Raw genomic sequence first — 13,169 nt, 5'->3', positions numbered from 1 at the left:
CCCAGGGCCCCATGCAAAGAACTCTGAACACTGATGGACACAAAATATGTTATTTATTGTCAATTTCTGCAAAGACACATTTAAGCAACAAAATATACATTTGTCAACCTTTTAGAATTTGTTTTGTACATTAACAAATACAATGTGCTACCATAGCAATAAATTAAATGTACATTATTTACATTACATAGGCAGTTGGGATCTACGAATCACCTCCTCACTAAGAGGAAAGAAAGCAAAGTCGTCGTCACATGGAGCATCACTTCCAAGCCACAGTTCTTAGGTTCGACCACACAGGGGAATCTGCACATTCACACGCCAGCAGTCCCCGAGCTGGAGTGTCCAAGGGGAACACCCAAAACAGGAGAGAGCTGCACGCATGCTAAGGAGCAGGAAGCGGGGGGGGGGGGGTAGTTCACACTTCCAAGCAGAAATGTCACAAAATCAAAGACGATGGCAATTAAATTCCAGTCTTCCAGCCAAATGCCCCCCTCCCCAGGGCTGGTAAGGCACAGGACAGAGCCGCTGCCCCACAGCCTCTCACTCGGCAGGGCTCTGCTGCCCTTGGCCCTAGTGGGGCTTGTCTTCTTCCTCCCAAAGGGGCACACGGTCCAGCTGAAGGGAGGGAGACATGGGATTGGGGTGTACAAGGGGCTGGCGGTAAAACAGAGTTTGGTAAAAGAATACCCCAGCCAGCCCCACCAGGCTGCAGGATCAGGCTTGGCAAACTTTACTGGCCTCCCCTTGCCTCGATACAGGGTAGCTAGAGGCTGGGGGAGGAGCCGAGGGGTCCTGAGCATGGCTGACTGGCCTGGTCCCTGCTGGCCTCCTGTACCCATGAGATCTACTCGAACCCCCAACTGCTTAAAACAGATCTGTCTCTACTGACTTAGAAACCAATGAGAAAGGTAGTGTTTGAGTTGGCACCTGGCAGGGTCAGGGAGGAAAGCGAAACAGGCTCTTGTCCTGCCTTGTCACGGGAGCCTGAGTTTCTATTAACCACCTTCGTTTAAGAATCAGGGAGAAATGAAGAGTTTTTCTTTGACCACTTTTCCTCTTAATTTAGGAAAAGGGAAGCTGAGGGTGGGTGAACAGCATCTTTTTCCCTGGCCTCTGCCCCCATTACACAGCCCCCATCAGGAGCTGAAGAACCGATCCCACTGAGGAATAGTTCACTGAATCCCTTTCCCTCCTCGTTTTCTTGGTTCAAGCTGCATCCAAAGCCCAAGGGTCCTCACTGAAAAATCCTAGAGACTATCCCCCCTGATGAAAAAGAGCAGAAACTGCAGCCTCACCAGCATCCTTGACTGCTCACCTCCATGCCAGTGCCAAAGCAGCAGCTAACTGGCTTCCCCAAAACCCAGGGCCCCAGGAAACGCAGCCACTTATTCAACCAACCATGTAGGCGCTGCAGAGGAAGGGACCCTGGGTTGAGGGTTCTAATCCCAGCTTTGCCAACAGCCAGCTGTGTGACCTCAAGCAAGTTACTCCCCTCACCTGGGCTAAGATTTCTCATCTGGACGATGACATGGTTGGATGAGATGCTAAAAAGAGCCAGCAGGCTTGTGTTGAGATGATGCTGACAAAGCTGAACCACTGAATCTTTTTCAAGAAACGTCATTTTACATGATTGGCATAGACAGACACTCTCATTAAGACCTTCCATCGCGAGCTTTTCTGCACCTGTTTTTAAGCGTCAACTGAGCTGGAGGCATATGGGTGACCCTACAGTGCCTGAAAAGTAGTTTCTTCAGTGAGTCAGGCAGTTCCCAGAGCCAGAGATGTGTCCCGGAAAACATCCCCTCGTGGAGATCACAGTGGAAATGCCTCAAACACCAGCGTGAGCACCATCTAGATGAGCCTAGTCACGAGGGCCAATGAGGTTTGGGCAAATCTTTGAGCCCCAAGACTGGGCGCAGCATAAAAGGAAAGACATTTTAGATCAGAGCAGATGTAGGGACAGCGTGGGGGAAACAGCCCTCCAGGAACCCGAGCTGCCCGCCCCGTGGTCTAGGGGAGGGAGGGGAGGCTGGGCCATCCTTGTTCTCCTCCTCCCTCTCAGCACTGCCCGGGTGGGCTGGAAGTGCACACTCTGGAAGCCACAGGATGGAGCTCCTAGAGATAGTGAGGCATGACCAGAGGGAAGAGGCATTTGGGGTCCTGTTCAGATCATTCCAACAGCAAACCGGGCATGGAGACCCCATCTCAGGTCTGTGCTTCTCTGGGGGCCACCCAGCCATCCTGCCCACCAGCTCAGAGGCAGGGACAAAGCCCTCCCAAGAGGCAGCAGGCAGCAAGGGTCAGCCAGCGCAGTGGGGACAGGCAGGTATGGGATTCCCAAATGGGACAGCATGGTGACAACCTGGAAACCCCAAAGGACCCCAGATGGCAATGTGACACGGCCCATCCACCAAGCACCTGTAATGCCGGCTTCCCACAGAGGCGAGCCAGATCCTGCAACTGTTCTTAAAGAAATGCAGTTTGACCTTGCCAGTGCCTCCAGAAGCCCAGCCAACAAAACGCGTCCAGAACGTACAGGCCTCTTTCCAGCCGTGGGGGCTGCTACGGTGACTCTTCATAAAAGCTAAACAGATATTTTGTTGACCTTCTAACAAGAATAAATTTTACTAGACTAGTACTTTAGAGAAAGTACTAGCAAAGGGAGAGCTCCTCTCCAGCTTGCAAACAGGACTCAATCATTCCCACACACGTGGCGGGGAAGAAAGATCACAATGTTGCTTGAATGGCAAAAGCTATAGGGAGAATTTCACAATGTCAGTTAAAAAAAAAAAAAAAAAGTGTAGTATTTATATCTTGGGCACAGGTCCAGATCCCTATGGGAATAAAGCATTCAGCTGGAAATCCTTGTCATTGGTCGTGGGGCAGGTGCCCAGCCAGTGTCACTCTGCAGCCCCGTCTGCACTGAAAGGGGCTCTTCAGGCTCGTTGTACCTGGAGGATGCCCACCTTAACCCCAACCCGGGCCCATCGGCAGAGAAGCCCACGGCGCTGCAGACTCGGAAGGGGGAGAAGCCAGGAGGGGATGTCCTTGGAGGTGAGCTGGCTGTCCCAGCAAGGGGGCTCTGTGGAGGGTGGGGGTGGCATGTGGGTCACAGGGTCTGACCCACACCCAGATGGGGTCCAGGTTGCAGAAACCCTTCAGATGTGACAGCTGCCTACAGACCCGCAGCTGGAGAGGGGAACAGGATTGGGGGGTTGAGCCCCAGACGCAGCTGCCCAAGGGCACAGTAGCTGGAAAAGGCCCCAGGGCCAGGCTGGGCCCCCCAAGACTCCAGGGGCGTAAGCTGCTGAGGGACACTGTGCCCCTTCCCCACCCAGGGGCCTGATCAGAACCCGCAAGTCATCCCCCCCTCACCTCTCTCCTCGAGTAAGTGGGGAGGGGAGATAACGACGTCTTCCTTGAACCCCCATTGTCAGCAGAGACCTGGGCTCCGGCCTGGCCCTCAGGCCCGAGGTTTTCCTCAACCAACACAGCAGCATCTCAGCACTGGCTCCTTTGCTCTCCCTGAATTCCTTCTCACTCCTGGCTTCCCACCCCTTTGTGGGAAAATATCTTCTCAAAGGGAAGAGACTGCCTCGGGGCTGCCCCTCCCTCCCCTCACCCCACAGCAGCCATAATCAGGAGAAACCGGGTGGGACCCAAAGTCCCCGCCTCAGTCCAGGAAGTGTGCAGCGCAGTTCTGGCCCGTCCAGCTCTGGCTCTGAGCTTGAACTGGCTGGAGCCCCGCTCACGGTACACTGGCAGCAGGGGCAGGGCAGCCCTGGGCCTACGTCAGCAGATGGGAAAGGCGTTCAGCACAGAAGCAGATAGACGGTTTAGAGCTCCAGAGCTACGGGGGCAATAGCGCCGAATTTTATCAGGATGGCCTCAAGGATGCTACGAATCTTGGCTCCTGGGAACATGGGGCCTCCACCACCGAGTGCGTTCCTGGTAGTAAAGCCTGCCACGTTCAGGAAGGCACTGCCCTGTGGCCAAGACCCTCACCGAGGCTCTGCTCCCACCCCCTACTCTGTCTCTGAGGCAGACCAGCTCCCCAGTCACTGCTGAGCTCCCCCCAGATCCCCCTTTGCCCGACACTTTTCCTCTCCAGGATGAATAGGATGATAAAGGACCCGGACATCACACTGGGAGGTCAGGAGCAGGAGGAACCTGAGGAAGGAGGCCTCGTCCAGAGATGGGAGGGGCTGGGAGGGCATGTAGGTGAGGGCGGAGGCAGGGCTGTGGCCAGACTGGGACACCTGGACCAACAGCACATCTGTGGGCACGTGGCCATGGGGCAGCAGGGCTGGGACTGTCAGGGTCGTGGACGGCACTCCCAAACTGCTGGTACAGGAGCCTTTTCCAGGACAGAAGAGGGGATTCCCTGAGGAGACAAGGAGGAGGCGGCGATGAGCGAACATTCCGTACAGGAAGGAGGGGACGACGCGGACGTCGGGAGCAAGGGGTGGGGAACACGCCTGCCCATGGCTACAGCTCACTGGATACACTCAGGAGCAGGAGGGCACCTGATGTAAGGGTGCCCCACCTTGCGTGGCCCGAGAAGCTGCGCATAGCCACGGCTTTGGTGGGCAGTGGCGTCCAGAGTGCGTGATGGGAGCCGGGGGTGAAGGTCCATATGCCCATTTGTCTTCTGCTTTTTCATAAATCAGGTTGAACACAGAGTGGGTTCGGTTGTACCCCTCCTCTTGGCTCCAGCTGTGACTCTGACCCCTGAAGCCCCATGTGGGGAGAGGGCTGGGAGCTCAGATGGGTCTCTGGTGACTTCCCCAGCAGAAATCCAGGCCTTGATGGGGGCGAGCTGGACCCACGGCCACTCTGCTCAAACCACGTGCCCCCTCAAAGCAGGCAGGGGAAGAGGCCTCCTGGGGTGGTCCCTCACAGTGCTGACTCCCGACAGGGAGGGAGAACACACCTCAGCCCAGGGCCTCCGCCAAAGACACAAGGAGGGAACAGCTGCCTGAGGGCAGGGGAGCAAGGGAGCCCTCAGGAACTCCTCCCTCCTGGGTCAGAAGCGGGCTTGGGCGACTCCCCTTCTGCCTGCGGGAACCAGACCCCATCGGTGGAAGGGAGGCCTAACTAGTACGTCTAGTCCAGTGTCACTGGGAACCCCCTTCCCATCCGCACACAGGCCATCTGCCCCTCCTTCCCCATTGCAGGTCTTCAGGGGCGAGTAGGAGACTCTTTGGACATCCCCAGCTGGCGGCATCTCTCCGGCCATTCTGAGGTTACAAGGCCTCTAGTTCCCTGATCTAAAAGAAACACACGTCCCCCCTCACGGCCACAGCAGGACATTCACTCAACCCACCTTGGACAGGCGAAGGACTCCACTTTCACATTAGTGACCCTGTTTCAACAAAAATCCATACAGGAGTTTAAATAACCAGACAGCACAGGTCCCTTCCACGGCGGCTCTGTGCACTCAGCTCTCAACAGTCTGGTGAGCTCAGGAAGGGATTCAGGACCCCAGGAACAAGCACTTCCCACCTCACATCTGGACCTGGAGTTCTCGATAGTCTGGCGAGCTCAGAAAGGGACTGGGGGACCCGGGAACCAGCCCTTCCCACCTCACATCTGGACCTGGAGCTCTCGATAGTCTGGAGAGCTCAGGAAGGGATTCGGGACCCAGGAACCAGCCCTTCCCACCTCACATCTGGACCTGGAGCTCTCGATAGTCTGAAGAGCTCAGGAAGGGATTCGGGACCCAAGAACCAGCCCTTCCCACCTCACAACTGGGCCTGGAGCTCTCGATAGTCTGGAGAGCTCAGGAAGGGACTGGGGGACCCAGGAACCAGCACCTTCCACCTCACATCTGGACCTGGAGCTCTCGATAGTCTGGTGAGCTCAGGAAGGGATTCGGGACCCAGGAACCAGCCCTTCCCACATCACATCTGGACCTGGAGCTCTCGATAGTCTGGAGAGCTCAGGAAGGGACTGGGGGACCCAGGAACCAGCCCTTCCCACCTCACATCTGGACCTGGAGCTCTCGATAGTCTGGTGAGCTCAGGAAGGGATTCGGGACCCAGGAACCAGCCCTTCCCACCTCACATCTGGACCTGGAGTTCTCGATAGTCTGGCGAGCTCAGAAAGGGACTGGGGGACCCAGGAACCAGCCTTTCTCACCTCACATCTGGACCTGGAGCTCTTGATAGTCTGGTGAGCTCAGGAAGGGATTCGGGACCCAGGAACCAGCCCTTCCCACCTCACATCTGGACCTGGAGTTCTCCATAGTCTGGCGAGCTCAGAAAGGGACTGGGGGACCCAGGAACCAGCACCTTCCACCTCACATCTGGACCTGGAGCTCTCGATAGTCTGGAGAGCTCAGGAAGGGACTGGGGGACCCAGGAACCAGCACCTTCCACCTCACATCTGGACCTGGAGCTCTCGATAGTCTGGTGAGCTCAGGAAGGGACTGGGGGACCCAGGAACCAGCCCTTCCCACCTCACAACTGGGCCTGGAGCTCTCGATAGTCTGGAGAGCTCAGGAAGGGACTGGGGGACCCAGGAACCAGCACCTCCCACCTCACATCTGGGCCTGGCCGTGTCCAGAGGTGTAGCTCCACCTTGGGAGTTGTGGCAAAGGTGGCTGGAACCCGGAGACACGGCCTGCACCTGCTGGAGCCAGACGTCCCCAGAGCTTCCCCTGCCTCCTTCGGGGAGCCCCCTCTGGGATGTCTGAACCCTCTTCCTCTGGCCTCAGGAAGGAAGGCTGGGCCTCTGCAGAAAGTGGAGTGTGGGGTGTGGGAGGCGCATCCTTACCGCACCAGAGCTGGCATGGCTGAGCTTGTCAAAGCGGAATTTCAGGTTCGATCTCGGGGAGTTTCTGCTTTTGGCATCTAAGAAAAAGAACGGCCATGAAAGGAGGGTGGAGCTGTGGAGGCCACTGGGGCTGTGTGTGGGGACTGGCTAGGGAGGCCAGGGGAAGGGGGCCTCCTGCCCTCCACCAGGACCAGGCACCCTAGCTGACCTGTGCCGACCCACGAGAGCCAACTCCTAGATTATAGAATTGTGGTGAGCTGGTTGTTCAACTCAGGCCATTTTTTAAAGTTGAATTATATATAAGCTTACAGTTCAATAAATTATATTCAACAGAGGTAATAAATACTTGAAATTCGTCACTTCCTACTTATTTTTCTCTGTTTTACGATTATCTGTGCTCTTACGTCTATTGTATCCATGTGGTAGAAACACCCTAAAGATGGTGGCTACAGTATATCTTCTTCCCAAGTCCACGTTCGAGGACATCACGTCAGTAGCTTGAGATCAGCCACGACAAGTGTATTTACACCACAGAAACTGGTACATGCTACAAATCATGACTTGATTGATTGTTTTGTTGTCTAGACTTAAGGAACTAATAGAAAAAAAGGAATTTACATGAAACTTCAAAACATGCTGTGTCTGCAGCGATTACATTGTGAATAGCACAAAAGAAAACTGAGGAAATATCCTTCCGGGGTTTGAAAACTTTTCTCGGATACAGCAAGGAAATGACTCATGTCACTGACGAATGAAGTTCTCTTAATACAAAATACTCATGGCCGGGCGCCATGAGAGTGAGTGTGTGTGTGTGTGTGTGTATAATATATATTATACATATGTATATACATATAACATATAATATATATGTATATATAATATATACATATATGTATATTATGTGTATCTATAACATATGTATATTATATGTATATACTATATATGTATATATAATATATACATATAAAATACTTATTAACAAACATGGTAATATCAGTCCACATTCATGTCAGAATTACACACATTCATCTCCTGCAGCCTTAAGTTGGCTACAGATAAAAAGGTGAAGCAAACACCACTAAAAGCATTCTGTGAGAATCAGTTGGACATATGGGACTTATGGTAAAGAATATTATCTAGTATTTGTACACTGGGTTTGACATCCATCGTATAATAAAATTCCGTTAAGTGTGTGTGAGTGGTGGCAGAGCCCGGTGTCAACATTTCCCGCTGTGCCCCGCTGGCAGGAGGGCCACTTGACTTTCTGGCTGTCCTCTGGCCGAGGGTATGGAAAGCTTAGTGCAGCCTTCCTGGAAGCTGCTGGCTGGTTCGTGGTGCTTCGAATCGAGGAGTTCCACCCAGGGCTACAACACCTCTGTGTAACCTATCAGTCCTCTTCTGTGCCCCAGGAAGCCCAGGTAGGAAATGACCATGATCAGATATCTGACATTATGGAGACTGTACGTCAGGACGTCAGGCCACCTCTCCCCACTCCACCCTGCCTCTCCCCAGACTCAGCCAAACAGCATGAAACCGGTTCCCAGATCCCCCCAAGCCCACCCTGATCCAGTGGGTACCAAGCACATCTTTCGTGGGCTGGGGGTGAAAAGCAGCCCATCGGGGTTAAATACTGTGTGGAGAAAAGGTGTGTAAGAGGCAGCCTCACCGTGTGGTGTGGGAAGCACCGGCCATAAGTCACCAGACCCGCTCCAGGTCCCTTCCGCCCTCGGTGACCTTCAGCAACCTGCAGAGACTCTCTAATTCCTTTACTCAAAACCTTCCTTACTTTGACGTTTATTTAACACCAAGTGGGGGCCAGGCTTGCTTACAGATTCTTTCATTCATTCCTTCAATATTTAAGTCTTATTTAGAAAACAAAACAAAACAAAACAAAAACACCAGGTCAGGCGCGGTGGCTCACGCCTGTAATCCCAGCACTTTGGGAGGCCGAGGTGGGTGGATCACGAGGTCAGGAGTTCGAGACCAGCCTGGCCAACATGGTGAAACTGTGTCTCTACTAAAAATAAAAAAATTAGCCGGGCATGTGGCACATGCCTGTAATCCCAGCTACTTGGAAGGCTGAGGCAGGTGAATCACTTGAACCTGGGAGGCGGAGGTTGCAGTGAGCCGAGATTGCGCCATTGCACTCCAGCCTGGGTGGCAGAGTGAGACTCCATCTCGAAAAAAAATCAGGGAATTTGTATTTCCACCCCCTTTTACAGATGAGGAAACTGAGGCTCAGAGACGTGGACCTGTCAATGCTACAACCAGGATTTGAACCCAGCTCCGCAGCTGCCCAACCACAGGGGGCTGAATGAGAGGAGGCACGTGAACTCTTCCACTCACTGAGAAACACGCATGCAAAGGGTCACTGGCTGTGGAATCACGATCTTCCCTTCATCTCTGACCCTGCAGGTTCCCTTTGCAACATCCCTTCGCTGTGTGAACCCCAGGAACATTTTGGCTTCAGCCACCCTGAAGGCCTGTTGGCCCTTCCTGTGTTTCTACCATTGAGACTAGAGTTTTTCAACCGAATGTCATTTGGGGTCAGAGAATTATTTGTCTGATGTGGCTAGGGGGCTGTCCTGTACATTGCTTATCAGCTTCCGTGACCTCTGCCCACTAGATGCCAGTAGCACCCCTCCAAAATTGTGAAAATTAAAAATGTCGCCAGACATTGCCAGACATCCATGGGGTAGCAAGACTGCCCCCGGCTCAGAACCGCTGACTACACTATTGTCTCATTCCCATTCTTTAACCAACACCGAGGTTAACAGTTCCAGGCCTCGTACAAGCATGAGCTCCTTTCATCTTCATACAACCAACCCTCTGAGGCAGACACGACTCTTCCCCTCCCTTCATTTTCTGCTTGGAGAAACTGAGGCACAGACAGGCTTGGTGACTCGCCCAATGACATGTCTAGTAAGCAGCAGACCCAGGATTTGGACCCAGGCTCAAAGTCCTGTGCTGCCCTCACGAGGGCAGAGACCCGGAGCACCCGCCCAGCAGTGCCCACCGCACAGGTCTACCTGAACGGCCCTCAGGTGCTGGCCCCCCTATTCTGACCAACTGCAGGGATCACAGAACCCCAAAACGCCCAGACTCCTGCTCTCTCTGAACCCCTGCTACTGAGCCCGTACATTTTACCTCCTTGATCTCTCCTGAACCGAGGTGCTTCTGCCGCAGCTCCCCTCCCCTCCTCTCCCCTCCCCTCCATCCCTCCCCTCTGCTCCTGCTCTCTACTAATCCATTCTACACTCAGCAGCTGCAGCAGCCAAAATGGACTTTCTCAACTCCAGATGGTGCTTCCCTACTTAAGAACCTTCAAACACTCCAACAGTGGCCGCTAGCAGAACAAAATCCTCACCCGGGGCCCGGGGCTGACCCAGCCTGTCAACGCTCCGGCCTCTCTGACGCCTGGCTCTGTGAACCCAGCTGCCATGAACACGTGCAGTTCCGGAATACCCGCTCTCTCCTCTCCTCTGGGCCTTTCCACATGCTGTTCCCTCCCCCTGCAGCCCTTCCCCCGTCTTGTATTATCAAGACCCCCGACATGACAGACGGGCCCTGGCAGCCCTGGAGCGCTGGCAGGTGGGGAGAAGGGTTGGAGCACTGGCAGGTGGGGAGAAGGGCTAATGGAAAGTGCTCAGCTTTCCCACTGCCAATCCCGACTCCTCCGCTGTGGGATCTCCCACAAGGCCTTCAACTCTCTGCCTCAGCTTCACAACTCTCAGTGTAAGAAGAGCTTAGGAACTTGGGCATCTTAAGGCTGATGAACAGAAGAGGCGGGCGCACAGAGCGGAGGGCCTCACAGCTGGGAGGAGGGGTGAAAACTGGCCAGTTCAGCGTGGCTGGGGCCCTGCTAACAGTGGACAGGGCACAGCCTGCCCTCCTGGTGACGTCACACACACCACCAGATGCCACTGACCTGTGGGACTCCGGCTCATGATGATCGGGGTGGCAGCTGCCCCCAGGCTGGGGCTCTCGCTGCTCGGGGACGGGCTGTAGACAAACACCTCCTGCTTGAAGGGTGAGGTCGTGGACGGCTGGCTGCCCTGAGGAGAGAGGCAGGGTGAGCGAGGCCAGCCCACCCTCGGCAGCTGCGCCCACGCAGGCCTGAGGCAGCCCCCAAAAGCCCAGGACAGCCGCTGCCTCCTGCTCCCCACTTGGGCCTGCTCTTTCTTTCCTGCTGACTTCAACCCTGGTTCCAAGCTATCCTGCTCCAAGAAGGACCTTTGACCCAGCCCCCTGGGGCACTGGCCACTCACCACTCCAGCCAGGAACCCCAAGGCAGGGCACCATCGGGTCTGGCCCCTGCCCTCTGCTGCTGCTATGTCACTCTGAGAGAGAGGTCCCCTCACCCACTGCGCCCAGGGGGTGGTGATGGCCAACGAGCCCACCTCTCGTTTCCATTCTTCCCCTTTCCTCTGCAAAGACTGACATGGGCTTCGATCCACAGTGCCGTTTTAATGCAAGGAGGGTGGCTGGCTGACGCCCCAGAGTGCCTGCCCAAGGGTGGACGGGGCACACCTACCCCACTGTCGCCCTCCTCCATGGCCTCGCCCTCCCCTGCAGTGCTGCTGACGCTGCTGGTGCTGGAGGAGGAGCGGGAGATGGCACGGCCGTTTTCCTTCAACTTCATGAAGGGCCTGCAGGGAATAGGAAGTGAGGCCAGCCCGGGTCACACGCGAGAGCCCTCCACCCCCAGGGTCCTCCCCGGGACCTCTGGCGGCTCCCCACGCCCCCACCCGTCGGCCTTTGTGTTCTGGAGAGTTCCAGAGGCAGGAGATGGCCACTCTCAGCTGGCCAGGAGGCAGAGGGCGTGTTCCAGGGCTCCACGTGGCCGAAGCTGGCCTTTCCCACCCTCACTCTCTTACTTCTCCTTGTTGGGGCAGATTTCCGGAGAGCTGGGATTGGATGAGGTCTCAGACTTTATCTCCTGAGAGGAGTGTCCACCATCTGGGGTCTTGGGTGTGCTGGATGTGCTGTCACTGAGGGAATGGAAATGAGGAGTGAGGCCGCGGAGACAGCCCTCAACCCCCACCCCATCCACGGCCCCAGGCAGAGCCTCTCTCGGCACGGTGAGGGGCAGTGGGGTCAGAGCGCCCCCGCCTGGCATCACTGCCTGGATGTCCTTTCCCACCTGAGCCCCCCAGAGATGGCGGCATACTACAGGGTTTCCCGGTCCCTACAACAGGGACTATTCTAGGTTCATGGTGAAGTCCAGAGCTGCCAAGCAGGAGTCCTGGCTTGACGGCCTCTAGCCCAGATCTCTCTCACCCAAGCTGGCCATCACACCTGGCGGAGTTGTGGGTCAAGAGAGGGCCCCGTGGGGAATGGAGCAGGGAATATGGCAGAGTCTATGACATCCGCCCCCACCGCAGGAACCACCCAATACACATGGACTCCTGGGAAGTCCCGGGGGGCCATCCTTCATATAGACTAGAATACGAGCTCCTGGTCCCACATGAGGAGGCTGCCCTGGGAGCTGGGAAGCAAGGGGTACTCTCAGCCAACAATATCCTTCTCCTTTAGTGTAACAAAGACCATGGACAGTGCCCACAGTGCTCCCTGTGCTGGCTGTTGGGGATGGGATGGCCGTGTCCTCAATGCACTTTTTTTGAGACTGAGTCTCGCTCTGTTGCCCAGGCTGGAGTGCAGTGGTGCGATCTTGGATTGCTGCAACCTCCGCCTCCCAGGTTCAAGTGATTCTCCTGCCTCAGCCTCCCAAGCAGCTGGGATTACAGGCGTATACCACCATGGCCAGCTAATTTTTGTACTTTTAGTAGAGATGGGGTTTCATTGCATTGGCCAAGCTGGTCTCGAACTCCTGACCTCAAGTCATCTGCCTGTATCGGGCTCCCAGAGTGCTGAGATTACAGGCGTGAGCCACCGCACCTGGCCGTCAATGTACTTTTTAAATAATAGTGTTCTTGAGACAGAATCTACACACCACAGAACTCACCTATTTAAAGTATACAATGCAATGGCTTTTAGTTTATTCAGAGTTGTGCAACTATCACCACCATCTGATTTTAGAATACTTTTGGACCCCTAAAGGAAACACTGGACCCATTTGTAATCACTTCCTAGTCCTCTCCCTGTAACTCCCACCCAATCCCGAAGCCATCACTGTAGATTGTACTCTTCTGGACATTCATGTAAATAGAATCATATAATATGTTATGGTCTTTTTGTCTGGCTTCTTAACATAATGTTTTCAAGGTCTGTCTATGTTGTAGCTTGTATCAGGACTTTATTCCTTTTTACTGCAATAATATTCCATTTTATGGATAGATGGCGCTTTGTTTATCCATTCATCAGACAATGGACATTTGGACTGTTTCCACTTTGGGCTATGATAAATAGTGCTGCCATGAGTATCTGTACAC

The 13,169-nt window shown here is 54.6% G+C and overlaps 1 protein-coding gene across 15 annotated transcripts in view; it reads right to left on the bottom strand.

The window, feature by feature from the left end:
* Positions 35 to 13,169, bottom strand: part of RAP1GAP2 (RAP1 GTPase activating protein 2) — a 282,097-nt gene continuing 268,962 nt past the window's right edge. For all 15 annotated transcript variants that reach the window (XM_047435668.1, NM_001411048.1, NM_001438816.1 and 12 more), the window contains 6 exons: positions 11,655 to 11,768; positions 11,312 to 11,426; positions 10,706 to 10,832; positions 6,778 to 6,854; positions 5,327 to 5,365; positions 35 to 4,384 (listed from right to left, as the gene is read on the bottom strand). In XM_047435668.1, the coding sequence (XP_047291624.1) occupies positions 5,357 to 5,365; positions 6,778 to 6,854; positions 10,706 to 10,832; positions 11,312 to 11,426; positions 11,655 to 11,768 (442 nt within the window). In that variant the 3' untranslated portion in view covers positions 35 to 4,384; positions 5,327 to 5,356. The remainder of the gene's footprint in view (positions 4,385 to 5,326; positions 5,366 to 6,777; positions 6,855 to 10,705; positions 10,833 to 11,311; positions 11,427 to 11,654; positions 11,769 to 13,169) is intronic.

Source organism: Homo sapiens, chromosome 17 (assembly GCF_000001405.40).
Source record: "Homo sapiens chromosome 17, GRCh38.p14 Primary Assembly".
Classification (NCBI taxonomy): Eukaryota; Metazoa; Chordata; class Mammalia; order Primates; family Hominidae; genus Homo; species Homo sapiens.
The sequence above is the reverse complement of the archived record's forward strand: the minus strand, read 5'-3'. Positions and strand labels throughout refer to the sequence as shown.